The 26984-nt window shown below is 37.2% G+C and overlaps 2 protein-coding genes and 1 long non-coding RNA gene across 15 annotated transcripts in view; 2 read left to right on the forward strand and 1 right to left on the reverse strand.

Moving 5' to 3' along the window:
• CAST (calpastatin) overlaps window positions 1–26984 on the forward strand; it is an 813255-nt gene that overhangs the window by 412191 nt on the left and 374080 nt on the right. For 11 of the 12 annotated variants that reach the window (NM_001423254.1, NM_001423259.1, NM_001423253.1 and 8 more), the window contains one exon: window positions 5947–6033. The gene's annotated coding sequence lies outside the window, so the exon portion shown is untranslated. Of the gene's footprint in view, window positions 1–5946; window positions 6034–7423; window positions 7837–26984 lie in introns of those variants that run through there. The other variant, NR_186779.1, reaches the window with a different exon arrangement.
• The window catches only part of LOC101929710 (uncharacterized), a 669085-nt gene that overhangs the window by 411619 nt on the left and 230482 nt on the right, over window positions 1–26984 (forward strand). The window contains exon 4 of the long non-coding RNA NR_130776.1: window positions 5947–6033. This is a non-coding gene — a long non-coding RNA (uncharacterized LOC101929710). The remainder of the gene's footprint in view (window positions 1–5946; window positions 6034–26984) is intronic.
• Window positions 16714–26984, reverse strand: part of PCSK1 (proprotein convertase subtilisin/kexin type 1) — a 42916-nt gene continuing 32645 nt past the window's right edge. For both annotated transcript variants that reach the window (NM_000439.5, NM_001177875.2), the window contains exons 10-14: window positions 26334–26567; window positions 25260–25417; window positions 23717–23850; window positions 21245–21406; window positions 16714–19759 (exon numbers count right to left, since the gene is read on the reverse strand). In NM_000439.5, the coding sequence (NP_000430.3) occupies window positions 19382–19759; window positions 21245–21406; window positions 23717–23850; window positions 25260–25417; window positions 26334–26567 (1066 nt within the window). In that variant the 3' untranslated portion in view covers window positions 16714–19381. The remainder of the gene's footprint in view (window positions 19760–21244; window positions 21407–23716; window positions 23851–25259; window positions 25418–26333; window positions 26568–26984) is intronic.

The following is a 26984-nucleotide window of genomic DNA, read 5'->3' on the forward strand; positions in this document are numbered from 1 at the left end:
ACGGACTTGTGAATAACTTAACATCTAACAATAGAATCGTAATGCTTAAGAGCACTACCTAAGCAGTTTTATCATCTATGAGGCTGGTTGTGCTGGACATGGAGCATTTCATTTCTTTTTTTCTTCTCTTTTTTTTTTGTTTTTAAGACAGGGTCTCAATGTGTTGCCCAGGCTGGACTACAGTGGCACAATCACAGCTCACTGCAGCCTCGAGCTCCTGGGGCTCAAGCAATCCTCCCAGCTCAGCCTCCAAAGTAGCTGGGACCACAGGTCCACACCACCATGCCTGGCTAATTTTTGGTATTTTTTGCAGAGACAGGATCTCACTTATCTACTTGAATTCATTGTTTTTGCTGAAAGACGTGATGTTTTGCCTGTTCTGATTGCGGGCAGCAGTATTTACTGTTCAGTTTAGCATGTGGAGTTGGTATAAAACATGTGTAAAAACATTAAGATTTGGCACCTTATGTAGAAAACCTGCTACACTTCAAAGTAGAATAATTGCCAGCTACTCAGATAAACTTGGTGGGGAAAAGACGAGTTTCCATAACACCAAAGCAATGTCTGCCTGAACCATATGTTTTCCAATTCAAAAAACAGGTTTTTGGATTCAAAACGTCCTCCCTCTTTCTTTATTTTATTATTGGTAATATGACAAGTAGAAAAACAGCAGGAAACATTTAGGACCACATAATAGAGGGTCATTTCCAGAAAACAAACAAGTTCATTGGGACATTCCAGAAAGAAAACCTTGATATGCCCATGAATATTTGCTCTATTCTGGAACTTTTGACATAGAGGAGGTGTAATGGAAAGCATCCTGGACTGAAATAATTTCTGATTTCCACTCTTCAAGCTCAAGGTGTGAAAGGTAAGGGTGATAAATAAGGAGAATACTGTACTATGCACTAGACTCTCTGCATCAATCTGCGTATTCATGTGTCGATGGGTACAGTAATTATTTGTGTCTGCTGAACATCTTTTGAAAATGCTCTCTTATGTCTTGTAGTTTTCCATCTTTTGAGTCCTGTCTCATCAAAGCATGCTGCAAAAACTGCATCAGAATCTTTTGCTACTTAAGGTACAAGCAAGTGACCTAGTTTTCCTCATTCAGATGCACCCCTACCAAAGACCGATGAGAAAGAGACCCCTGTTAGGATGTGGCCACAGAGAGATAGATTTTCTGGTAGTTGTGGTGGAAGAAAGGTTCCGGTTCTTCTGGGGTTGTGGCGCTGGAGTTTCCGGCTCTCAATCTCGGGTATGATCAGGGCTGAGCAGTGGGTGGTGGTAGCAGGGCTGTTTTCACTAATACATTTCCCCACAGGTAGAAGATGGGCATTGTTCCTGTATTTCTAGCTGTTTAGCATTTTAAGTCCAATTCTCTGACTCTTTGAGATTCTGACACTTTCTCATATATTCAATAAGTCTCATTTTGCTCAAATTAGTTAGAAATCATCCTGTGATTTTCAACTAAGAGTCTTAACCTGAATAATGGAGATAAGAAATAGTAACAGAGGGGCAGTTTAACCTCAGTTATGATAGCTAGAAAGGGCGTTGGAAATGGAATATTGGATGTGAACACAGAATAAAAGAATCTGATAGAGATTTTCAGGTGTCTTCAAATATGGAAGTTGTTTTCTTGCTTAAATAAAGGAATGTTTTGTCAACTTCCCCTATAGCTGTACAAGAAATAGCATTAAGGGAAAAAGTCTTGAGCATTTACAAGAGATTGTTAAATTGCATAAAGAAAATAAGTCCTGAATCATCATCTGGGATAATTTATTATTTGCTTTTTGGTGTGTGTGTGTGTGTGTGTGTTTTTTTTACTATGCACATGAGTTTACTCTTATGAGTTTACTACACAATGTAGCTTCATTAAAGAAAAATTAGAAATATAAAAAACACAAAACCAAAGGAAAATTCTCCTGTGATGATTAATTTATGTGTCAACTGGCCAGGCTATATAGTTCCTAAAGTGATTTAATAAAACCTAACTTAGGTGTTACTGTGAAGATATTTTAGCAATGTGGTTAACATCTACAATCAGCTGACTTTAAGTAAAGGAGATTACCTTGTATAATGTGGGTTGGCCTTACCCAAGCAGTTGAAGGCCTTATAAGCAAAAACTGAAGGTTCCCACCGAATAAGAAATTCTGCCTCAAGACAGTCTTATGGAAATGCTGCCTATGTTTCTAGCCTACTGGCCTATCCTTTGAGTTTTAAACTTGCCAGCCCCCACAATCCTATAAACTAATTGCTTAAAATAAATCTCTCTCTCTCTATATATATATATAAATATATAAATATAAATATATATAAATATAAATATATATATATATCTCCTATTAATTCTGTTTCCTGGAGAATCCTGACTGATACATTCACCCACAAGACCATCACCCTCTAATATCACATGCTAATATCATGGTATCTTTACTCATTTTTTTTTCTTTTCTTTTCTTTTCTCAGACCTCTCAGGGTGAATTCATATTTTTTCTATATACATTTATACAGTCATATAATGCATAACAACATTTCAGCCAGTAATGGACCACATATACAATAGTGGTCCCATAAAATTAAAATGGAGTGGAAAAATTCCTATTGTATAACAATGTTGTAGCCATCCTAATATAGCATAATGCATTGCTCATGTGTTTGTGGTGATGCTAATGTAAAGAAAACTACTGTGCGTCCAGTGGTATAAAAGTATAGCACATATAATTATGTACAGTACATAATGTTAGCTAATGATAATAAACAACTATGTTACTAGTTTATATGTTTACCATACTGTACTTTAAAAAAATTATTTCTATTTTTTTTTTTTTATTTTTTTGAGACAGAGTCTCGCTCTGTCGCCCAGGCTGGAGTGCAGTGGTGCAATCTCAGCTTACTACAACCTCTGCCTGTTGGGTTCAAGTGATTCTCCAGCCTCAGCCTCCTGAATAGCTGAGATTACAGGCATGCACCACTATGCCTGGTTAATTTTTGTATGTTAACTAGAGACAGAGTTTCACCATGTGGGCCAGGCCGGTCTTGAACTCTTGACCTCAAGTGATCTGCCTGCCTGGCCTCCCAAAGTGCTGGGACTGCAGAAGTTTGCCACCATACCCAGCCCCATACTATATTTTTAATCATTATTTTAGAGTGTACTTCTACATATATATAAAAAGAGTTAACTGTAAAACAGCCTCAGGTAGGTCCTTCAGGAGGTATTCCAGAAGAAGGCATTGTTATCATAGGAGATGACAGTTCCATGAGTGTCATTCCCCATAAAGCCCTTCCAGTGGGATAAGATGTGGAAGTGGAAGACAGTGATATTGATAATCCTGATTCTGTGTAGGCCTAGGCTGTGTGTGTTTGTGTACTATTTTTTAAGAAGAAAATTAAAAAGTAAAACAAAATAAATAAAATAGATAAAAATTTTATAGAATAAGGACATAAAGGAAGAATATATTTTTGTACAGCTGTACAATGTATGTTTTAAGCCAACTTATTACAAAAGAGCCAAATAAAACAGTCAAACTTTCATTTTTTTAAATTAAAATTTTAATTTTTAATTTTTTAAAAAATTAAATTTATAAAGTAAAAGTCTACAAGAAGCTAAGTTTAATTTATTATAGAACAAATAAAAATATCTATTTATGAATTTAGTGTAGGCTAAGTATACAGTGTTTATAAAGTCTACAGTAGTGTACAGTAATGTCTTAGGCCCTCACATTCAATCACCACTTGCTGATTCACCCACAGCAACTTACAGTCCTGAAAGCTCTTTTCATGGTTAGATATACAGGCGAATCATTTTTTTTCTCTTTTATACTGCATTTTAACCATGCCTTTTCTATATTTAGATATGTCTAGATATAAAAATATTTACCATTGTGTTACAATTCCCGACAGTGTTCAGTATAGTAACATATTCTACAACTTTGTAGCCTAGGAGCAACAGGCTATAGCGGGTAGCCTAGATGTGTAATAGGCTAAACCTTCCAGGCTTATGTCAATATACTTCATAATGTTCACACAATGATGAAATTGCCTAATGACATATTTCTTAGACTGTATTCCCATTGTTAAGTGATACATGACTGTATATATGTGCAACTATTTACCCATTTATTTACAAAATAGGATAATACTATTCACACTGTATGTTAGGATGCTTTTTTCCCCCACTCAGCAGTTTACCTTGAATACATTTCCAAATCAATGAATATACTTTTAAAAACATCATTTTTAATTTATTGCTGCATTATTGATAATAATCAAGATATGTAAACAACCTAAATATTCATCAACCAATGAATGAATAAAGAAAAATGTGGTATGTATATATACAATGGAATGTTCTTTAGCCTTACAAGAAGGCTATCCTGCCATCTGTGACCATATGGACGAACCTGGGGGACATTATACTGTATGAAATAAACTAGACACACAAACACAAATACTGCATGACTTCATTTATATGTGGAATCTAAGACAGTCAAACTTATAGAAGCAGATAGTGGAATGGTGTTTGCCAGGGAATAGGAAGGGGGAAAGTGGGAAGGAGAAATTGGGAGATGTCAGTCAAAAGATATAAAGTTTCAGTTATACAAAATGAATAAATTCTGGAGCTCTAACGTACAGTGTGGTGACTACAGTTAACAAATACCATATTGTATACTTTACATTTTTTAAGCAGATAGGTCTTAAATGTTCTCACTGCACCAAAAAAGAGAAAAAAGAAAATAAGAATGGTAACTATGTGGGGTGATAGATATGTTAATTAGCTTGATTGGGATGATTATTTTACAGTGTATATGTATATCAAAACATCAAGTTGTACACTTAAATATATAGTTTTGATTTGTCAATTATACCTTGATAAACCTGAAAAATGTGTGCCAGTTTTATAAGCAAAAAACTAAAGAAACAAACTCAAGAAATAAACCCCATCATTTTTTAGTGCCAGTTTATTATCCCATTGTGTGAATAGACAATTTCTGAAAATAGCTCTAAAGATATCCTTTAAAAGTCCTAGAATTAGAACTTCTGGATGAATAAAATTCATATTTTTAAAACTTTTGGCACATACTGCAAATTGCCGTAAAGAAAAAGAATACCAACTTATACTCTTATTTATGAGTGTCCTTTCCCCACACTTTAACCAATTCATTTTATTATCATTCAAATTATTTTCTAGTTTAGAATTTTAAAAAACTAACATGTATTATTTAAAAATTTTATGTTGGTGTATATGTATTTTTACCTAATGGAGATTACAGTGTATGTATATATGTAAGTAAATATATATTCTACTTTTAAAAATAGTTATTACAAATAATTTCTTGTATTATAAAACTTTCGAATTCATTTTTAGTGACCTAATAACATTCCACTTCACAGATGTGCCATAATTGATTCGTGCATTCTGCAATTAGTTATACTCTCTCATTTTTGCCAAAATTTCTATTTCCTTAGGATATTTTCTCAGAATGGGATTATAGGATCAAAAATTAGGAATCTTTATGAGCTTTTGATACCAGTGAATGTTCTCATTAGTAGAATAAGTCTGTTTCACCACGTTCATTGATTTTGAATATTGGCTTAAAAAGTGAGAAAAATGTTACAAATATATGTATGTATGTAAGAGCAAAGCAGGTATTGCATTAAAAATACTAATGAGGGTTAATTTTGGCCCTCATCTAGATTCATTTGCTATTTCTATTTCTTGTTTTATAAATGAGAATGAGGGACTTGAAACAAGTATTTAGTGAATCCATTCACATTGGGAAAACGTTTCCCAGGTTTCTACATTTGTATTAACTTACACTGTAGCATAGGAGAAATAGCTAGGGCAACAAAAATGGAGTTTATGAAGTATAAAAATTGTAATTATAAATTCTGATAAATTACAGATATGAATGTAAAAACCTTTTACAATTACCTGTCTTTTAGGGCCAGAGGATCTACTACCACAGAACCATTCTAGATGTGAGTTCCTAGTGTGAAAGGACTGGGAGTTAACAGAAGAGCCACAGTGAGGTAGAGTTTGCTGTGTTTATATTTGCATCGAAGTTATTTTAAAATATTATTTTCTCTCTCCTGCACACAATATTTTTGATTCTATAGCATACATAGAATTTATATGTTTGATTCTATAGCATAAGTTCATTTCTCCTCAATCAGCCCTTTTGGCCATTTTGTTAAAGATCAGAGGTGTAGCCACATTAAGGAAAAGCATTCGAATCTGGGTTAGCCCTATCCATGGTGGCAGTTATTACCTGAGTGCCAGTGCCAGGATTGGATAGAGGGGGTATACAGCAGCCTGTCCTGAATGGTGTCTGAACAGGACCATTTCTGGTTCAATGTAGCCCTCCTTGGTTTTAACCTGTATCACATGAGCTTGCCTAAAAGGAACAATATCCCTTAATATTGAAAATTCGCTAACACGGCAATTCTTAAATTATCATGCGCACAACCCTGGAAGTCCTGATATCTTTTCAGGGTGTCTGCAAAGCCGGCATGATTTCGTAATAATCCTCACATGATTTGGCTTTTTCACTTTGTTGATATTTAGATTGATGGTACAAAAGCTATTGGTGGTGCCTTAGTTACACCAAACTGTACTAGAAGTCATTTTATGCTTCACCCTTACATACTCATAATTTTTTAAAAAATTCCAGATGCAATTAAAAATACTCTTGGTGAAGCAGTAAAAATTAAATATAGACCCTTGAATATATGCCTTTTAAGTTGGGTGATGAAATGTGAAGTTTATATAAAGCACTTTACTGCATGCCAAATTATCAGGCTTTTCCTGAAGAAAAATATTTGTGTAATTGTTTGAGTTGCAAACTGAACTGGTTGCTTTTTCATCGAACATCATTTTTACTTGAAAAAGAAAAAGACTTATGGAAAAACTGTGGTTATTCTGACCTGAGTATTTGGCAGAAAAAAAATTCTTGAAAATGAATAAAATGAGCCTGTCACTTCAAGGAAAACAACTGATAGTCTTTGTTGCCAGTGATGAAGTTTGAGCTTTCAAGTGAAATTAAAGTTTCAGAAAACTTGTATCTACTACCATGAGGTTGATGGTTTCTTAATATTTAGAGGTTTTATTATGAAATTAGGAATATTAACTAATGCATTTTAAAAAATTATTGTATGATGAAATGTGTCAATATTTGGAACATTTGCATAACTCAGTGAATCAATGTTGTCCAAATAGCAATGCTTGGGGGTTACAAAATTACGCGTGGGTAAAAACTCTATTCAAAGTTCAAGATAGACCAATAGATTTTAATTTAGGAGAGCCGAAAAAGTTTATTGGTATAGTTTCAGAGTCTACATTGTATCTTTTAAAAAACATCTTGTTGAATCTTGGTGTAGTATCACAGGAGAATATCCACAACTATGTTCCTTCCTTTTTCAGCCATATCTTTGTGAAGCTGCCTTTTCTTCATATACTTCAACCAAAATTTCATATTGCAGCAGGTTGAATGCTGAAGTACATATCAGAATCCAGCATTCTTCTATTAAGCCAGACACTGAAGAGATTTGCAAAAATATAAAACAATGCAATTCTTCTCATTAACATTATGTTTTGGAAATATAATTATTTTTCATAAAAATATGTTAATTATGTTAATATACAGTGGGTTTATTACTGTAATTTTATAATTAATAAGTAGATATTTAATTTTTTCCATTTTTAAATACAGAAAGTTTCAATAGATATAATCCACAAACAAAAACCCTTTGGGGTCCTCAATAATGTTGAGTGTGAGTGGTGTATGATTCCAAAAACTTTAAGAACTGTTATCCTAATAAATTATTCTTGGATAATTTTGCATGTGAATATCATGAGGCTCTCCCAAGCAAGGTAATGTATTCAGCAATAGATTAGGATGACCTCCTGATCTGAATGTAAAATTGGGTATTATGGTCAATAACAGTCACACAAATAATTAATTAAGAGATGTCAAAAAGAAAAACACAGCTTTCAAAAGCCTCTTGAGTATTTCGCTCATGTGTGCCTGACTGTTGGACGTGGTTACTGAGGTGCGCTGGTGAGTGCAGCTCTTGGTCTCCTAGGGGAGCTGTTTGCTTTGCCTTGTCACACACATGCTCTTTTGATCTCAGATACTAGTCTCTGTCTGGCTTCCTTGTGGTTAATACATCTGACATATGGCTTGTTTCTTTGTCTACCTTTTATTGTGTTATTTCATCAGGCTACTTTGAAATCAGTATAAGCAATAATCGGCAGACTACAATTCGGTTTTAAGTGCATTTTCTTATCAAGATACATAGAGTTATATGGCATTCTTATGATCCAGTGCTTCAACTGATGGCATATAATGTGGCGTTAAATAAATCTATACAGCCTGACATAGTTAAGTGTACTATTAGCTGACATTGAACATAAAAACAGAAGAGTGAAAAAGGTGTATGAGGTCTTCTTAGATAACTAAGCAGCCGAATGAAAATACAGAAAGATATTTCACTGCTGCTATTCTAATGTCGCTACTTCACTTTTTCTAAGCTTTGGATTTCTCTCCTCATTTCCTCTTTCCATAGGATTCTGTTCTCAGCTAGTGTTTGATACCACCTAAGGGTTCTGTCAGTTTAGTGCTCACACAGTTTATCATGCATCTTCACCACTTATTAGCTATGCGACCTTGATCAGGTGAATTCTGCTGTTTGTGCTACTACTGTATTTCCCTCTCTGTAAAGTGGGGGATAATAATAAGTGTATCTACAACACTGAATGAAGAATAAGTGAAACCATCCATGTACTGGGCTCAGCATCTTGACTACCACCCCCAGTGGATCCTCCCTGGGCATCAGCTATTATTCTTCTCTGCTTTTATTCATTGGCACTTTCATCTGATTTGCACAAAGAACTATATTAATTAATTAAACAAATACATATTTAATGGCTATTGCATACCAGGCATTGTGCTAGGATGAGGGATACAACGATGAATAAAAACAGTGCCCATGAGAGCAGAGGGCATGTCCACATAGTATTTAATACATTATGCTATTTCTGGCCTCTATCACAGTGTCTGACAGAGAGTGGGTGTTTCATCCAAATAAGCAAATAATCAACCCTATGAGGTAAATGAAATTATTATTCCCATTTTACAGATGAAGAAACTGAGACTTAGAAAGGAAGAGTAATCCATCCAGTGACACCCAGGTAGCTAGTCACAAAATCCCTCCCTAGGGATGGAGGAAGAAAATGCTAACACTGCCAATTCATGCTGCTTGAGAAGGGTTAATCTGGCTTCCCAATTTCTAATTTCCAAAGCACATCATGGACCTGCAGATAAACTAAATGCTCAACAACACTGTCCATAAGTACTCATTGATGTTCACCTTGTGTACAAGACACGGTGCTAATCTTTGGGATACTGCAGTTAACCTGAGAGACATTAGAGGAGCTTACATTCCGTTCGGGGAGACAGCTATAAACAACTGGTTATGTGTGTGGTTGCCTTGTGATAAACACTATGTAGACACATATACGAGAGGTTCTGACTTAGGCTGCTATTATGATGATCAGAAAGGCTTCCCTGAGGAAAGAATTTATAAACTAAGCTCTGAAGGGTGAATAGGAAAGAAGTAACTAGAAAAGAAATGGAGGAAAGCATTTCTAGCAGAATACCATGTTCAAGAACTTGGAACATTAGCATACCGGAGGAAGGCTAGTGTGCTAGTGTGCTAATGTGCTATACCCTGAGACTGAGTGGGGCAGGGAGATGACATGGAGCTATGGAAACAGGTTAGGGACAAATTGCCCAGGGCTTCAGACCCATGCTAAGCATTTTGATTTTGTTTTGTTTTGTTTTTGAGGTGGAGTCTCTCTCTGTCGCCAGGCTGGAGTGCAATGGCACAATTTCGGCTCCCTGCAACCTTCACCTCCCAGGTTCAAGCAATTCTCTGCCTCAGCCTCCCGAGTAGCTGGGACTACAGGCGCAGGCCACCACGCCCAGCTAATTTTTTTGTATTTTTAGTAGAGATGAGGTTTCACCATGTTGGCCAGGATGGTCTTGATCTCCTGACCTCGTGATCTGCCTGCCTTGGCCTTCCAAAGTGCTGGGATTTCAGGTGTGCATTTTGGTTTTATCCTAAGTACTCTTCAGTGAGTTTTCAAGAAGAGAGTGATGTGACAAGATATGCAATTTAGAAACATCACAGTATGAATGGAGACCAGGGGCACTCTGTTGCAATAGCAATGTGAAAGAAGATGGCAGTGTGGACCAGGATGGTAGCACTGGAGAAGAGTAAGTGGGCAGGCTTGAGAGATACTCAAGATGTTGAGTTCATAGACTTGTGACTTAGATCAGGGAGATGAGTAGGAGGCCGACCTGAGTTTTATGGGGTCTGAAGCTCATGGAACTGGAGAGCTCTTTCAGAAATGGATACTGGATATGGGAAGGTCCCAGGATGACTGTCCAGGTCCTAGGCATTTTATACAGGCACAATGAGGTATGTACAGAGAAGAGGAGGTATCTCTTCTCTGCACCTCTTTTTATTAAGAAGCCACACTTTTCTCAGAATCCTCCCCAGCATTCCTTTCATGCGTAGGAAATTGGGTAGAAAATTAGATAATTCCTTCCAGTTCTGAGACTCAGTGATTGTGGTGGGAACAAAACATTTTAGGAAGCACAATTCTCATCAGCAAGCTGAGAAGACAATCCACATCTGTACTCTAGTGACAAGATATAATTATTGTTCAATAAGATACTTTTGATATAATTATGCTGGGACAACAGGGATAAACGAAAGCTGTCCTTGACAAATTGGAACAATGACCACTCTATCTCTTATGGACATACGTGACTGGGTGAGTTCCCTCTCTTCTTCCCACCTCTGAGCTGTCTTCCCTGCCCTTGTATCCCTGCTGCTGGGCTATGACTCATCTTCCTCACTGACCACAGTTGGCACCTCTTTTCCGTCAGCTGACTGGCACTGCAGCATTTTCCACTGGGGCAAGGAGAAGGCATGAGCTGTAAGCTCTCAGAAATAATCAGGAGCATGGGGATTGTTAGCCTTGCTTCTGATGGAACCCAGACTCAGGCTGGGAAATTATTGACAGGATGTAGTTGGCTAGGAGATAGTGTCTTTCCAAGTGAGCCGAGAGAACACTGGTCCCTGAATATGCTCCAGGAGAAAGGGATTCTGTCTGGACAAATGCTGAAAAATGCACCCCTAAAGAGTCTTAGTACACGCTAGTATATATAAAAGGCTATTGAGAAGTCCTACAGTGAAAAAATGCAAAAAACTCAGGTTTTGTCCACAACTGTGCAAGACTTGGGCATCCTTTTTAAACATACACACCCCACACCACTGATAAATATCCCAAAGAATAGACTTGGAGAAACTTTTTAAAAAGAAGACACATTAACATCAAGCCAGGAAGGCCAAGAAATGGGGAGACAAATAGAATGGCCCAACATACTAGAATACTCCTAGAGTCAATGTGCTGGTTATTAACATATCTTAGCATCCCTGGGGATGAGCCACACATGAGTTCATGGGATTGATTCTTCATCCAAATGTTGCTTGAGTTATTGGATTGGTCTGTTGCCTCCTAAGAACGTTGGTTCCTTTCAAAATAGGTCAAGGAGTGATGATTGACAAGGACAACTTCTCTCACCCTTAAATTTGTTGGGGTTTCCAAAATTTGAAGAAGCGGTATAAACTCTCTAGGTGTTCCTGGAAGCATGAGATTGCTTATTAAGGCATCAGTTTGCAAAATTTGGAAGTAAAGCTAAAAAGTGAAACAGAGTGAAGGAGCAAAAAGATAGGGTTGGATAAACCAGTTTTAAAATTGCGGCTTAACTGTACAACCTTTGGCAAATGATTTAACCTTTCTGAATCTCAGTTTCCATATATGTAAAAATACTTCACTTGTAGGATAATGCAAGCATTAGAAATAACATGTCTTATTCATGAATTATCATTGTGAAAATATAGAAAGTGTATGCTTAATGCAAAGAAAATGTTCAGTTAACAAAAGCTTTCCTATTATTTCAAATAACAGAAAAGAATCTGCAGTAGATTCCTATGGTTCAGGAAGGCATACTCTGTTCATGGAGCAGAAGGAGCAGAGTGGATGATTCAAACTGTCATGTATATTAATGCTATTGCCTTGCAAATTACAAGGCAGTTAGGAAAACATTTATCTTCCTTCTCATGAGGTTAAAATTGTTTTTAAGAATAAATATTTATTCCGTGCTATAAATATCTTCTAAAGTGTCATGTCACCTTTTTTGTCTTGCTAATATAAGGCATAGCTTGGATGCTGGAATTACTGCCAGGTTAAAATCTCAGCTCTACTCCTTGCTATCTGCATGACCTTAAGCAAGTAAACAAAACATGTTACCCCTCAGTGTCTCACTTTCCCATCCTCAAAATAAGGACAATAATATTATTTATCTCAGATTCGTTTTTACGATTCTTGTGAGAATTTAATTAAACAATGCACTGTGCTGTGAATATAGTTAAGAAAGAATCTGTTTTGTATTGTTATTATTGGCATCTCAATGCTTTAGAAATTTTTTTTTGTTTGAAAATTGTTACTCCAATTTCTTTCTGGATGCTAGGAGAAATCCTTACCAATTGGATGTGAGACAAAATTAAACAATGATTTTCTTTATTCAATATCTTCTTTTCCCTCACTTGTTGCCTCTGGCTTTCCTTAGTCCTGGGGAACTGCCTTTTGAGCCTCAACTGTCACTTCAAGGATTCCTCGTTGCAGTTCAGTCTACACTGGTGATGATTAACCCATTTCCAATGTGGCATTAGGAAAGGAAGGTTCACATTGGAATGACAATTCACGAGGCCACATAATCTTAGCCAGAGATATTTAACAGTATTTTCATCTTCTTCATCGACTCTTACATTTTCTCCTTTATTGGATTTGCAGATAAGAGCTACAAATTCAAATCTGTTTGGTTCTAAAGTCCGTTTTGTTTTCATGACACCACAATAAAAACAACAATCTCACAAATAATGAAAACTAACATTTGCTGAATATTTACTTTCTACAGAAACCATACTTTGCCAGGCATGGTGGCTCACGCCTATAATTCCAGCACTTTGTGAGGCCGAGGCGAGCAGATCACTTGAGGCCAGGAGTTTGAGACCAGCCTGGCCAACATGGCAAAACCCTGTCTCAACTGAAAATACAAAAATTAGCTGGGCATGGAGGTGGGCACCTGTAATCCCAGCTACTCAGGAGACTGAGACAGGAGAATCAGTTGAACCCAGGAAACAGAGGTTGCAGTGAGCCGAGATCATACCACTGCACTCCAGCCTGGGCAACAGAGCAAAACTCCATCTCAAAAACAAAAACAAAAACAAAACAAAACAAAACAAAAACAACTAAATTACTTCTCTGCATTATCTTATTTAATCCTAACAGCAAATGCATAAGAGGTAGACTTCATTGTTGTATATGAGTAAATAAGGCCCAGAAAGGTGAGGTAACCCGCTCAATGGCACATAGTTAGAAGGTGGTAGAGCCTGGATTCAGATTCATTTGTGGCTGACTCAAGAGTGCACACCTCTAGCCTTTAAGTTGTTAATATATTTTCAGACATTTTTGGCCCTTTAATGATTAGAATAGTATCATTTACAGCAACTGATTGAGAAAAGCTAAGGCTTGTGGCTTTTTGGTTTCTGTAAGTAAAAATAACAACAGCAGGTTCACGGCCATTCATTCATGTCCCAAAAGCTTATTAAGTGCTAGTAAAGAATGACCAGAGCCAAGGGCCTAGATGCTCAGATAAACAAGATGGGTTTGATCCACCTCTGAGACACCTGATGGGATGGATAGGACCTCATAAGTGGGCTTTCTTCCTTCTAATTCTCTCTGGCAAGAGAATTTGAAACAGCCCATAAATTTCTTTATTATTACAAATCTCTCTTAACATTTTGGGCTCAAAATTTATACTATTCAGTAAGCATTTTCTTATCCAAAACAGACTGGCATTAGGCACCCTACCATGGAACACTCAAATGATACTCTTTTCTATGAATGTGACTATGAACTGGAAATTATGCATGATATGTGGGGAGCACTGGACCCTCCCCAAGAATGAGTTTTGAGCTGAGCCCTGGTGGTGCCTGGAATAGGAGAAGTGATGATGCAAGAAGTGTTGTAAAATATGTAAGACAGAACTAAGGCCAAAGGGTACTCTCCTCTCACTGAGACATCATCGAGGTTTATAAATCACCTGTCACTGGGGCCACTAGGGACAGGGATACAGGAAATGAAGGGATCAATCATGACAACCCTGCAGGAAGAAATTCGAGGATGTTTTCCTCTATCCTCTTCTAAGAACAAGAATTCCTTTCAAGATTGGGGGTCCCTGTTCAGATACATATTTAATGAAGATACTCTCAATATGGGGGTGTATAGAGATGGGGTGCATATGGATGTGGAGGAGAGAGAAAGTGCTTTATGGCATTCCAGCCAAATTGACTGAAAGTGGCACACATGGTAGAGAGAACCGGTATAGAAACCAGGAAAGTGGTCTCTGCCTCCCTGGCACATGCCATGAGAATGATGGGCGCATAATGACTTCAGTCACCTCCTTTTACTGGTACATTAATGATAGAGTAATGCTTATAAAATATGTACATATAGCAACAACATACAGGCTTAGTTAGACTGTTCTCTCTCAGGATGGCTCTGCTTCGTGCTATGAGTTGGCTGGGCTTGGTTCCAGAATGTGGTTTTGATTTACATCTGGTTCATATACATCTGTTCTGGAAACCAGGCTTAAGGGGCAGTAGCTCCTGGGGCACACTCTCCTCACAGCGCTGGGTCACTGAAAAGCAAGGGCCAAGCCAAACTGTGCAAGCACATTTGAGGCCTCTGCTTGCATCACATTCATTAATATTCCATTGGCCAAAGTAGATTGCATGGTCAACATCAGTGGTCCAAGAAAGTATACTCTGTCCACAGGGGCAGAGGGAACAGAGTGGATAATTCAAACAATCATTTATATGAATGTTATAGCTTTGCAAATTACAAGGCAGTTGGAAGGCATTTCTCTTCCTCCTCATGAGTTTAAACTTGTATTTAAGAATTAATCTGTATCCTTTGTACACGTGCATGTATTTGTGTTTGTACTCACAGCATGTACATGGTTAATCCAATAGTTACCAGATGGACATTCAAAAGAAAGTAGAGACCATCTATGGAAATTGTTTTATGTACAACACAAACACACACAAACTATTTCTGTATATATATATACATATATATACACACACACATATGAAATTCAGCCTTTAAAAGGAGCTCTTGCCACTTGCAATAAATGAATGAACCTAGAGTATATTATGCTAAGAGAAATAAGCCAGACACAGAAAGAAAAATGCTGCATAATGTCACTTATATGTGGAATTTTTAAAAAGTCAAATAGATGGAAATGTAGAGTAGAATGGTTTTTGCAGTGGGGTGGGAGAGGTGGGGGGAAATGGGGAGATATAGGTCAAATAGTATAATGTTGTAGTTATGTAGGATAAAAGTCTAGAGATGTGATGTACAGCATGAGGACTATAGTTAATAAAAATGTATTACATACTGGAAATTTGCTTAAAGAGTTTTCTTAGCATTTAGGTGCTTTTACCACAAAAGAAAAAAGGTAACTGAGAGAATGGATATGTTAATTTGCTTGACTGTAATCATCTTTTCACTATGTATTTATATATCACAATATCACATTGTACACCTTAAATATGTACAATCAATCAATTAATCGATTAATCAATGAAATGAAAATAGAGATATATCTTCAACTAATCCTGATGGAAAGAAGTCCTTCTGGAATTTCTGAAAGATCATTCTAGTTTTACTGAATGATTATGACTTAGGAGAAATGAATGGATTCTGGGGAAAAACCAGTTCCCAAGGGGAGAAAGGTCAGATTCTGAGATGGTGGGTCGAAATTCCAGGAATGGAAGTTTGAAGCAAGAGAGAGAAGTGGGCCTGAAGTTCAGAAATCAAAGTTGGGAATTGGGGCCTGGCACAGTAGCTGATGCCTGTAATCCCAGCACTTTGGGAGGCTGGGGCAGGTGGATCACCTGAGCCCAAAAGTTTGAGACCAGCCTGGGCAACATGACGAAACCTGTCCCTACAAAAAACACAAAAATTAGCTGGGTGTGGCGGTGCACACCTGTAGTCCCAGCTACAAGGGAGGCTGAGGTGGGAAGATCGTTTGAGCCTGGGATGTGGAGGCTGCAGTGAGCCATGATCATGCCATTGCACTGTAGTCCGGGCAAAAGAGTGAGACTCTAGCAAAAGAAAAAAAAAAAGTTGGAACTTTGAGGGTTCTAATGAGAGAACCTCTGGGAAGGATTTCACACTTAGCTGCTTTACTCTAGCCTGTAAACTAAGTCCTATTTGGTGAAATGTTGGGAATCATTTCTCTTACATGTAGTAAGTCTGTTTAGTTTAGTTTAGATAGTTTGTTCATTTCTCAACATTTCAGTTAAGGCTCAGTCATACAGCTTTGCATGTTGTCAAGAAAGTGAAGGATGGGCTAGAGAGGAAAATAAAACATACCTTGTTCAGGTAGATTCTTAAATTGACTCCAAGAAAGCCCAATTTCCTAAAAAGGAATTAACTCCTTAATGTAAACTGTCAGCTTTTCTTTTGTATAGTCCATTTGGGAAACACAATAAAAGAGGGAGATCTTGTTTGTGGTGGAAACATGAGCTTTTTTTCTTTTGACTTAGTGAGAAACAATTTATTTTTCTGATTTATAAGCATATTTTACATATTCTGGTCAATACATCAAATGTATAATGTGGAAGTTCCCTTAAGAATACCAAGACCACACATGTTAAACTCAGCTACATGTTGTATTAGGCTATTAGACAAATGTCACTTTTAATATCACAACACATACATGTACTTTTTTTCATTGACAGAGGAACATGCCTTTCAAAAATATTTTATTGGGTGAAACTTTCTTATTCTCAGGAAAACTTTTGGTTCTTTAATATAATTTATTATGCTCTTTAAAATTCTGTTTGATAAAAGCATTGGTATATTATAAATACCTGTAAAGAAAATATAGTTTAAAATTTCAAGGGAAATAGTATATAAGTTTTCTCTTTGACATTTTCACAAAAATCCACACAGGCACTAAGAAAGACTGACAAAACTGTTTTATATCTGAATATTATACTCCAGGTTGGAAACATTCAATATGATTTTATTTAAATATTAAAGCTTCTTGAGAGTGAACCTTTGGCTACAACCCAATGAGTTGGCTGGGGTTTTAACCCAGAAAATATTTTGTTAGGAAGAATCAAAAGAAAGATTTATACATCTAGCACTAGATTGGGAATGGAAAAGTAATGAGTTTTCATTCTAACTCTTTATTGGCCTTTCCGGGCCAATCTAAGAATTCTCTGGTCCTTTTTAGTTTTAATACTTTTTGATATGCTCCAATATTGGAAATTCTATCTAACACTTCATATCAAACAATATATGAAACTTCCAAGGACAGAGTGATTCCGCAAGTCTTTTAGGAGAACATTCTCTAAGCATTACGGGCATTGCTCTGCAAACACCCTCTACACAAATTCAAATGGTAGAAGAGCAGGTGAAAATTTGTGTTACCAACCATACTTCAAGCCAAAGCAAATGACAGACTCTAGTGTTCTTTTCATGAACCAGTTCAATGCCATGAATTACCTTATGAAGTTCAAACTTCATGGAAAAATTGCAAACAGCAAACTCAGTGGGAGAAAGCCAGCATTGTAGGTGACTGGAGACTTTGTAAGCATATTGAGAGAAGGAAGCCAGAAGGTTAGTAATAAATGAATTAGTATTAGTGATCATCCAGGTGAGGTGAGATTACATAAGCAAACTCATAATTATTATTGTACAGATCCTGCCTAACAGAAGATGCGGGTAGTTTGTTTTTCCTAATGCATTTACACTTTGTACACATTCGCTTAGTGTAGGAGTGGGCAAAATCAAATGCCTATTGGATACTGCCCAGCAAGGAATCAAGTGCCTGCTCTAGGTAACATGGAGCAGGGTGCCATGGGGACTGAGAGTCATCTAATCAGGCAGCTGCTACTCAGCTCCAGCTAACTGTTGCCATGAGCAAAGATGGGTCCGAGAATGAGGTTTTATGTGAAACATCATATTTTCAATAACCACTCATATTTTAAAAACATTCTGCATACCAAACAAAATCTACCTGAGGGACAATTAAGGTCCATGGCCTGCCAGTTTCTGCTTCTGATTTGAAGCTTAGGAGCAATTTGGTGAGAATTTGGACACTATCAGTGATAGGATTGGAGAAGAACTTTTAGTATCAAGGAATAAACATTCAGTTTCAAATACTTAGAACACGCTGTTCTAATGAACACAGTTGGAAAAAAACAAAAACAAAACTTCTCTTGGTTTCTCCCTATTATGAGTATTTTTCTATTATTACATTAGGTCTCCATGTGATAAGTGGTTTCCTGTTACTGCTGAAAAAAATTGTGACTAGGAATTTGCCAAGTCCCAAGTGTAAGTTTTTTTTTTTCTGGGAAAGTGGTATATATCATTTCTCCCAACATTTATTTTGTGGCTGAGAAAGGAGACAGGTATAGAAAACTTTCAGAAGGAGAAACAGAGGAAAGACCAGGCATGCAGCACGAGTCATAACCACCTCTGGATCCACGGACGCCTCTGGCACCACAGACACAGTGCACCAGGCAAAGAATGTTCGAAAATTGCTCAAACCAGAGCATTCAGATTTCAAGATCTGTTTCTAGATCTAAATAATCCAGCTTTTGACCAACATGACCAGATTTTGACTACAGGAATGAGTGGCACTTTGGAATAGAAAGATCTAGGGAATGAGTCTTACAGTGAACTCCTTCATTAGGCCTACCAAATACTTTCTTGGCATCAAAATTTGAAGAACCACATGGACAAGACAGGGAACAAGCTACAGAAACAGTTTCTGACTCCTTCTCATTCTTTGCAGATTATGTTTTCAAATTAATTGATATCCCAGGTTTTGCCTTTTCTTTTGAGAATTGAAATGGGCTCTAATGCAGTGTTCTAATGTAGTGTAAGAGCTTTTTGTCAACTGTGACTCCAGAAAGAACAAAACACTTCACTTGTGCAGACAGGAAAGATGTGTTTTGAAATACCTATGATCAATTCTGGAAGTTGAACTTCCTGCTTGAGCTCATCCCCTTCACATGTACAGTTTAGGGAGAAAAAGAAAAGGTGCCACAAAGGATATTATAAGCATAAGAATTCATGACAAAACAACCACTTCAGACACAGGCAAAATCGCAGGGTAAGGAAGAAGCATGAATATTTCCAACTTGGGACCACACACTTATTTTAATTTTCCTCATTCAGAATGTCCACCAGAGCTTGAAGCAGCCGGTCGTCTCTGTGCTTGTAAGGTTTAGTGTTATAAAAAACATCAACATAGTCATTATACAGACTGTCTTCAGAGTCTTTAAGCTGGGAAGGTTTGTTCAGCTTTTCCAGGGCTTCGTAGAAGTTTTCATAAGGGATGTTGAGCTTTGCACTTGGGGACTTCTTTGGTGATTGCTTTGGCGGTGAGTTTTTACTGAAAGCACTTTGCAGGAGTCGCAGCATGGCCTGGGAAGGGGCTCCCTCCTCCAACTCATCCCTCCGGCCCCCTACGCTGCTGCTGCTGGGGCTTTTGGACACCAGGGTGTTCTCCTTAGGGTTCTCTTGTGTGGGCTGCTCCTAAAACATAGAATGCCATCCACAAAGGGAAGAAGGTTCATTATTTATGGCCAGGCAAGCTAGTTGCAACCCTACCACAGGAACGCTGCCTGCCGCTTGAGAGGCAATGAGGGGAGGGGAGAGAGTTCAAGACTGGGAGCCACATGGACTTGGGCTTCAACCCTCATTTGCCTACCCTCTGGGGTACCTTTAACAACCTTTTTAATCTCCCTCAACTTCACCTGTCAGGTGGAATAAGAGTACCTCCATTTGTGGTGGTTTTGAAGACTAGATGAGACTGTATAGGTAAGTACTCAGTACATGGTGGTTTTCTTTACTTGTCAGCCTGCTGTCATGGAATCCATTTTGGGAAGCAGAGGATATCAAAATATCTAACAAGTCATATAGAAGGCACCCACTGGTTGCGGTAGCATGGGTGTGCCTTCCTGGAGGCACTGGCTTTCAGAACTACCCTTTTAGCCACTGAGCTGTAAGAAGTGGTCAGGGGAGAGACTGAGGTGCTAGGCTGGGGAGGAGGGAGCTGGAGAGCTCAGAGAAGCCAACCTTGGCCAACTGCTGTGGAAGTGTTTCAATATTCCAACACTGACAAGGTTAACCTGCTTCCCAGACTGTGAAGAAAAGTACTCAGGACTCAGGTCCTGGAGGGAAGCTGCTTTGAAGAATATAAATGGAACTAGAATTCAAGCTGAGGCCTTCACAGTTCATGTGTAAGTTTCTTGAATATGTACTTTGCCTCTGTATCTTCCAAAACACCCAGCTCAGAGCTGGACCTATTCAGAGCAGGGCGTTCTGAAAATTCTGAAAACCTACCTATTACACCTGAGGCACTGTGCTAGATGCTGGGATACAGAGATAAAGAAAATGTGGGCTTTTCTCACCATCTGATAGAAGGAAGCCAGGAGCCATAGCAGGCTGAAACCCAGGAATGTGAACGACTTATTTTAGCTATCCTCTGAAATTTTTTGAGAAAAAGTGTGATCTATCGCTCCCCTTGGTGTTGCCAAGAAGTGTCAGTTAATGAATTAATAAAAAGAAGCCTACATGATTTGGCCATTTGAGCCTTGTTTTTCTTTCTGCAAAATGGATACACGAATGTCTATCCTTCCTAGGTTATAGGGATTATAGGTTAATGAGACAATGTGGAAAATGCTTAAAAACAAAGTACAGTACAAATGTTAGATATATGTGATTGGGCATAAAGATAACTTTTTTTTCCATTTGTTATCTGTCATAAGTGGAGAAAATTCATGTTAGGAAATTTAATACTTTTGAATTCATTAATTGTGATTTCTAAGTTCTGGATAAAATATTGAATGAAAAAAATACAGTTTTATCCTATGGAAAAGAATAGTTTACCACTATCACTTCTTATCCTCCCCATCCATGTTTGACTTATTTCCTGCTTGGAAGTTGGGTACAGCTTCACTGACTACATTGTCTACCCCAGTTCAAAAGAGAGCATGCCAAGAACAGAGCCACACAGACCTCCCCTGGATCCACCATCTTCTCCACCCCTCTTCTGTCATTCTGAACAGTGTTGTAGGACGTGTACACACGAGGCTGCTTCATATGCTCTGGCTGAGAAGAGGTCCCGTGCAAAATCAGCTTCCAGTTCACAATTCTTCCTTCATTTTGAATTCTTCCAGACTAACAAATAAGCATACCTACATTTAGTATGTGTTTTAGATAATATAAAACAAACTCATTCAAAATAGCTAAAAAGGATTTCATTGTTAAAATCTCATTTTAAGATTCTGTGCATTTCATGTGAAAGAAACCATTGGATCCACTCTTGCTATAAAAATTGACAATTTGTAGGTTCAACAGTTTAGAAACTGATTGCTTCATAATCAAACATTTAATTTAAAAATCAGAAATCTCTATGTAAGTCTTCTTTTCCATATTGGATGTGTTCTTGGAAAGCTGACTGTACCTTCTATAAATATATTTCCCAATTATCAACTTATAGAAACATTCCACTGGGAAAAAAGTCAGCCTCTATGGAGTATTATAAACAACCTCTAGCATTAATAAGCCCTTAAAAATTGTGTGGCACATATGCACTGTGGAATACTATGCAGCCATAAAAAAGAGTGAGTTCATGTCCTCTGCAGGGACATGGATAAAGCTGGAAACCATCATTCTCAGCAAACCAACACAGGAACAGAAAACCAAACACTGAATGTTCTCACTCATAAGTGGGAGTTGAACAGTGGGAACATATGGGCACAGGGAGGGGAACATCACACAATGGGCCTGTCAGGGAGTAGGGGGCAAGGGGAGGGATAGCATTAGGAGAAATATCTAATGTAGATGATGGGTTGATGGGTGCAGCAAACCACCATGGCATGTGTATACCTATGTAACAAACCTGCACACTCTGTACATGTACTCCAGAACTTAAAGTATAATAAAAAACTAAATAAAAGAGGTCTATAAAGTTCAATGACAAAAAATAAATAAATAAGAGGTCTATAAATTCAGTTACAAAAAGTTGCATATTTGGGGGAATAGTCATAATTTTCAAGGCTCAACAATTATAAATAATGTGTTAAAATCTAAAATATCTTTAAAAATTTAGAAGTGTAAGGTCAGATTTTGCAGACTTGACATGAAATAAATCCCACCTTGGTAAATAGATTTTCTTAGTTTCCTGATGGTGAAATTGAGTTGAAGAATAGAGGCCAAATTCAAGAACAGGCCCAGATGCTAAGAACATTCTTTTTTTGCTCTATGAGAGAAGGACATTTTACAACTTCCATTTCTAAATCACAATTTTAGCAGTCTTTAGGAGAAAGCTATCCTCAGAGAAAAAAATGTAACAAACGACTATAGAATTTGTATTAATTTAATTGACATCTCCAAGAACTTTAAATGATTTATTTTCAAAAAGTTATCTAGGCCGGGTGTGGTGGCTTACACCTGTAATCCCACCACTTTGGGAGGCCGAGGTGGGTAAATCACCTGAGGTAAGGAGCTCGAGACCAGCCTGACCAACATGGTGAAACCCCATTTCTACTAAAAATACAAAAATTAGCCAGGCTTGGTGGTGGGTACCTGTAATTCCAGCTAGTCGGGAGGCTGAGGCAGGAGAAGCGCTTGAACCCAGGAGGCAGAGGTTGCAGTGAGCCGAGACTGTGCCACTGCAACTCCAGCCTGGGTGACAGAGCAAGACTCCGTCTCAAAAAAAAAAAAAAAAGTTATTTAGGCGTATAATTCTACACTGCTGATATTTATTACACTTTTGTCACAGAAGAACTCAGAGCCAAAACATTATTCATTTATATTCTCACCTACAGAGAATGTTGGAGAAATGATGCAAAAATAAATAATTAAGCTATATTTGGCTTTTTTCTAACTTTTGCTCTGTACTTGCATTTTTGTGACTGTGTGTTAAAATTACAGAAGGATGTCAAAGAATGTTAGTAAACAGAATGAAAAAGAAATGAGAAATGCTTTCGGTTTGTTTCATGACTAAAACTGTTTAAAAAAGTCATATTAAATAAGATATCTCTCCAAACATTAAGCTACATCTAAATAGCTATTGCAGAATAATCATAAGCATGCCTTTAAGATGTGACTCTGGCAGAATGTCACACCAAAGTTGGTCTGAGCATTTAAGTATCTTTGTGAATATGATTGATTTTGTTGGCTGAATAGGTTAGATGGCTGGCTGCATGCAGACATGGGAACACCTGGATTTGTCCCACAGTCTGTCACATTGTTTATATAAGTGTTTTTCCCCCTCTTATAGTATGGCTGAAGCCTAATCTTTCTTTTTGAATATTATCTACGTAACCAAGTGGTCAGGGCTTGAAACACTCTACTTTTCCCTTACTTCTACTAAGAAGGGGTACAATTCTTTAGGGCCCTAATTAATGATGAAATCAACCTTAAAAGTGCTTCAAAATGTTTAAAAGTAAGCTTGTGTTTTTTCATCCTCTCATTCACACTTACCATGTCTGTAATTCTCAAAGTCCAAGTACCTATAGGGTTCTCTCCCCATGTGTGAACAGACATGAAGTCCCAATTCTTAAAGCCATTAGGAGATGTATCCCGTTCTCTTTCAGCCAAGAGCACAGTGCTAGTTCCTATGAAACAAATACAAGTTAATGAATGTCCTAATAGCTCTGATAGTAGGATACACTCTAGCATCTGATAACTGAAAATAAAAGCTGAAAAAGATGAGTTCTCCTAATTTTCTCTTTTAGTATAAGACCAGGATAGAGACACTCACAAGGAAAAAATATGATGTTTTTATCTATAGTGCTTAGCACATTGCCTGGCATATATAATAATGAATAATATTATTTGCCTCAATAAATATTGTGGAAAAAATAATGAATGAATGAATGAAAATGTTGACTAAGGTTTATTTAAATAAGGAAAACTCGGCGAACTACATTTACAAATTGAATTAGAGAGTCAAAAATCTAAAAATATTTTAATGAAACTATCATTTCTGAAGTGTGAGAGGAAATCTTGAAAATTTAGTAGGTGCCTGACTCCATAATGATTTAAACATAAAAATTATTATTTAATTTATTATGCAATCATTAATAATCATAATTATTTAATTAATGTATTAATTTCTTAAAGATATATTAATTTAACAATCTCTTATATTAAAAGACAGGTTACCTGTAAATTTTTAAGTCCCAGCCCTTTCTAGATCAATTGATAATAGTTCTATGTGGAAGGGTTAAATAACTGCAGGTCTATCAATTAAAAAAGCATTCCACCAATATTTCAGGTTAATTCCAATACATCTAGAAAGCATAACTTCAAAATTAACAGAGCCTATTCCAAACCTCTAAGAATTAATATTCAGGAGGAAGATCATAGAGATAGCTCATCTTTCCTCACATATCACCCACAGAAACCAAATTTAGTCAGTTGAGTCCTGCTAAAACATAAAGGAGTATTGGGACTGCTCCTCCTGGTTAGATTATGGCTTATGGTTCACGAGCTCTTTCCCATCCACTATCTTATCTGAATTAGTGCCCTCGCAGGAAAAAGCAAATGTTCATACATCATATAAAATGGCCTTATTCATGTTACTATGATAAATTTGTTAATCTTCTCAATCTCCTCTAATCGATCTGAATTCCCAGTTTTCAATGGACTCCTTGTATGTTTCGGATATATCTGTGAGTTTGGTTAATTATCAGAGTAACTTTCACTAATTTGCTATCTAAGAGAAAAGTGATAGGTCAGTAAAATGGAAAAGTAAACAGTTTGAAAATGCATGACTTCAGAAAAGTGTATTAATTAGCATTATTTGAATGGGCCTCATTCTCTGCTTATCAAAGGATCAGTGGAAATGGGCAGGGCAGAGGGAGATCTAACACCAAGAAAAAGGAAAAAATAAGCATGTTTTTTAAGACCTGAAAATATCTATTAGGAGACTTTGTTCTATGAATAAACAAAAGCAATCAGTTATTTGAATCATTCAACTTACACTTAAAAATATAAATGGCTTAGAACTTTTTTAATTTACCAGCAGCAGAAGTAAGTGTGACATGAAGGTCTCCTCTTCGGGAATATTCAATTGTTGCTTCAAATTGTACATGCTCCAGGGACTTGATAGCATTTTCTTGTCCTTCACAAGCTCTTGTTGGAATTTCAATGATAACTTCTCCATTAGCTTTCAGGGCTCTAAATACATTAAAGAATCAGCATTGAATAAAGTATATCCAAACTTCCTTGCATTTTATGCATATCTGCATGCATCAATCTTGACTAGATGCTCAACTAAGCTTTTTGTCACTCCCTGTGATGTGTAGAACCTAATTCAGAATTATGTATACATGAATTTTAATGCATAAGAAAATGGTAAGGGGCACTAATACTTAAATACAATGCTATTTGCTGTGGAGTCAAATTCAGGCAGATTTATTGTAGACCCATCAAAAAGCCCCTCTTAAGAAAAAAATGATTTTATCTAGAAGGCCTTCTGAAGGCATGCCCCAAGCCTCCCATCCTTGGATATTTTGTGTGAGCAGGTCTTCAGTATTATTTTGATTGCTTTGATAGAAATTACAAAACACTCCTAGTAGAAATTTCTTCTGTGACAAGATGTGGTGTGCTAGAGGGAGTCTAAGTAAGTGTATGATAAAGAATCCCTCATGGAAGAAAAGCCATGAATCACACAGCACTGTGGCATGAAGCAAGGCTATTTTGCAAGCAGATTTTGGGTAAAACTGGTTGGCAAGTACTGCATTTCATCAACCCTAAGATGCATTTTAAAAAAATAGTTAAACATTGAATTTAGAATGAATCTTAAAACTGATGGGTGGTTGATCACAGTTTAATTGACAATAAAACAATGGTGCATCTTAGACTGGGTGCTATGTGGTAGGTGGACTACAAGAGGAACATGCAAATGGTTAACATGGTTTCTAGAGCTTTGGTCTCTTAGTTAGTCCCCATGGATACCCACAGAGAACACTAGAAAATTCCACCTCCATCTACTTCAGAAGGGTAGATACAAAAAAATCAGGCAGAATGGCAAACATAGTAATGAAATTATGCCATGGGCACACATGTGTTTAAAATTCCAGGAGATACTTACCTGGGCTCAAAGTCATTGTCCTTTACAACACACTCTTTCTTCTCAGGCACGCTCCTCCAGGTCCTGGGGTCAGCTAAATCCACCAGAGCTTTGGCATTTAGCAAGCCAAATCCAAATCGACTATTCACCATCAAGCCTGCTCCATTCTTTTTCCATCCAGGGTTATTGGCCAGCGGGTCATACTCAGAGGTCCAGACAACCAGGTGCTGCATATCTCGCCAGGTGAGATTTGGGCTGGAGGGGAAGTGACCCAAAGTGTCTTTCAGAGAAAAATGAAGTTTCCTTGCAAAAGCAAGTGCTAACAATAAGCATCTCCATTCAGGGATTATGAAGTGCCTTTTGCTATTGTAGTTATGTTATTCTAGTGTCTATTACTGTTCATATATCTTTTCATTCAGAATTCAGAATACAGAGCTGAAAACTTCTCCCTGTAACATATAAGTTATGACTTCTCTCCAGAGCATATAAGCTTTTACTATGAGTAAAATTCAGTCCTCAGCAATATAGAAGTATAAAACTTTGTCCTTAATTTCTAATTGCTTCCATTTAACTGAGCAAACATTTTAAATGGTAACACTTTCTTTATGCCCTCCAGTCTCATGCTGTCCATTAAAAGCCTTAGCACTTTCAGCATTATGAACCCACAGACGA

This window comes from Homo sapiens, chromosome 5, assembly GCF_000001405.40.
Source record: "Homo sapiens chromosome 5, GRCh38.p14 Primary Assembly".
NCBI classification, from domain to species: Eukaryota; Metazoa; Chordata; class Mammalia; order Primates; family Hominidae; genus Homo; species Homo sapiens.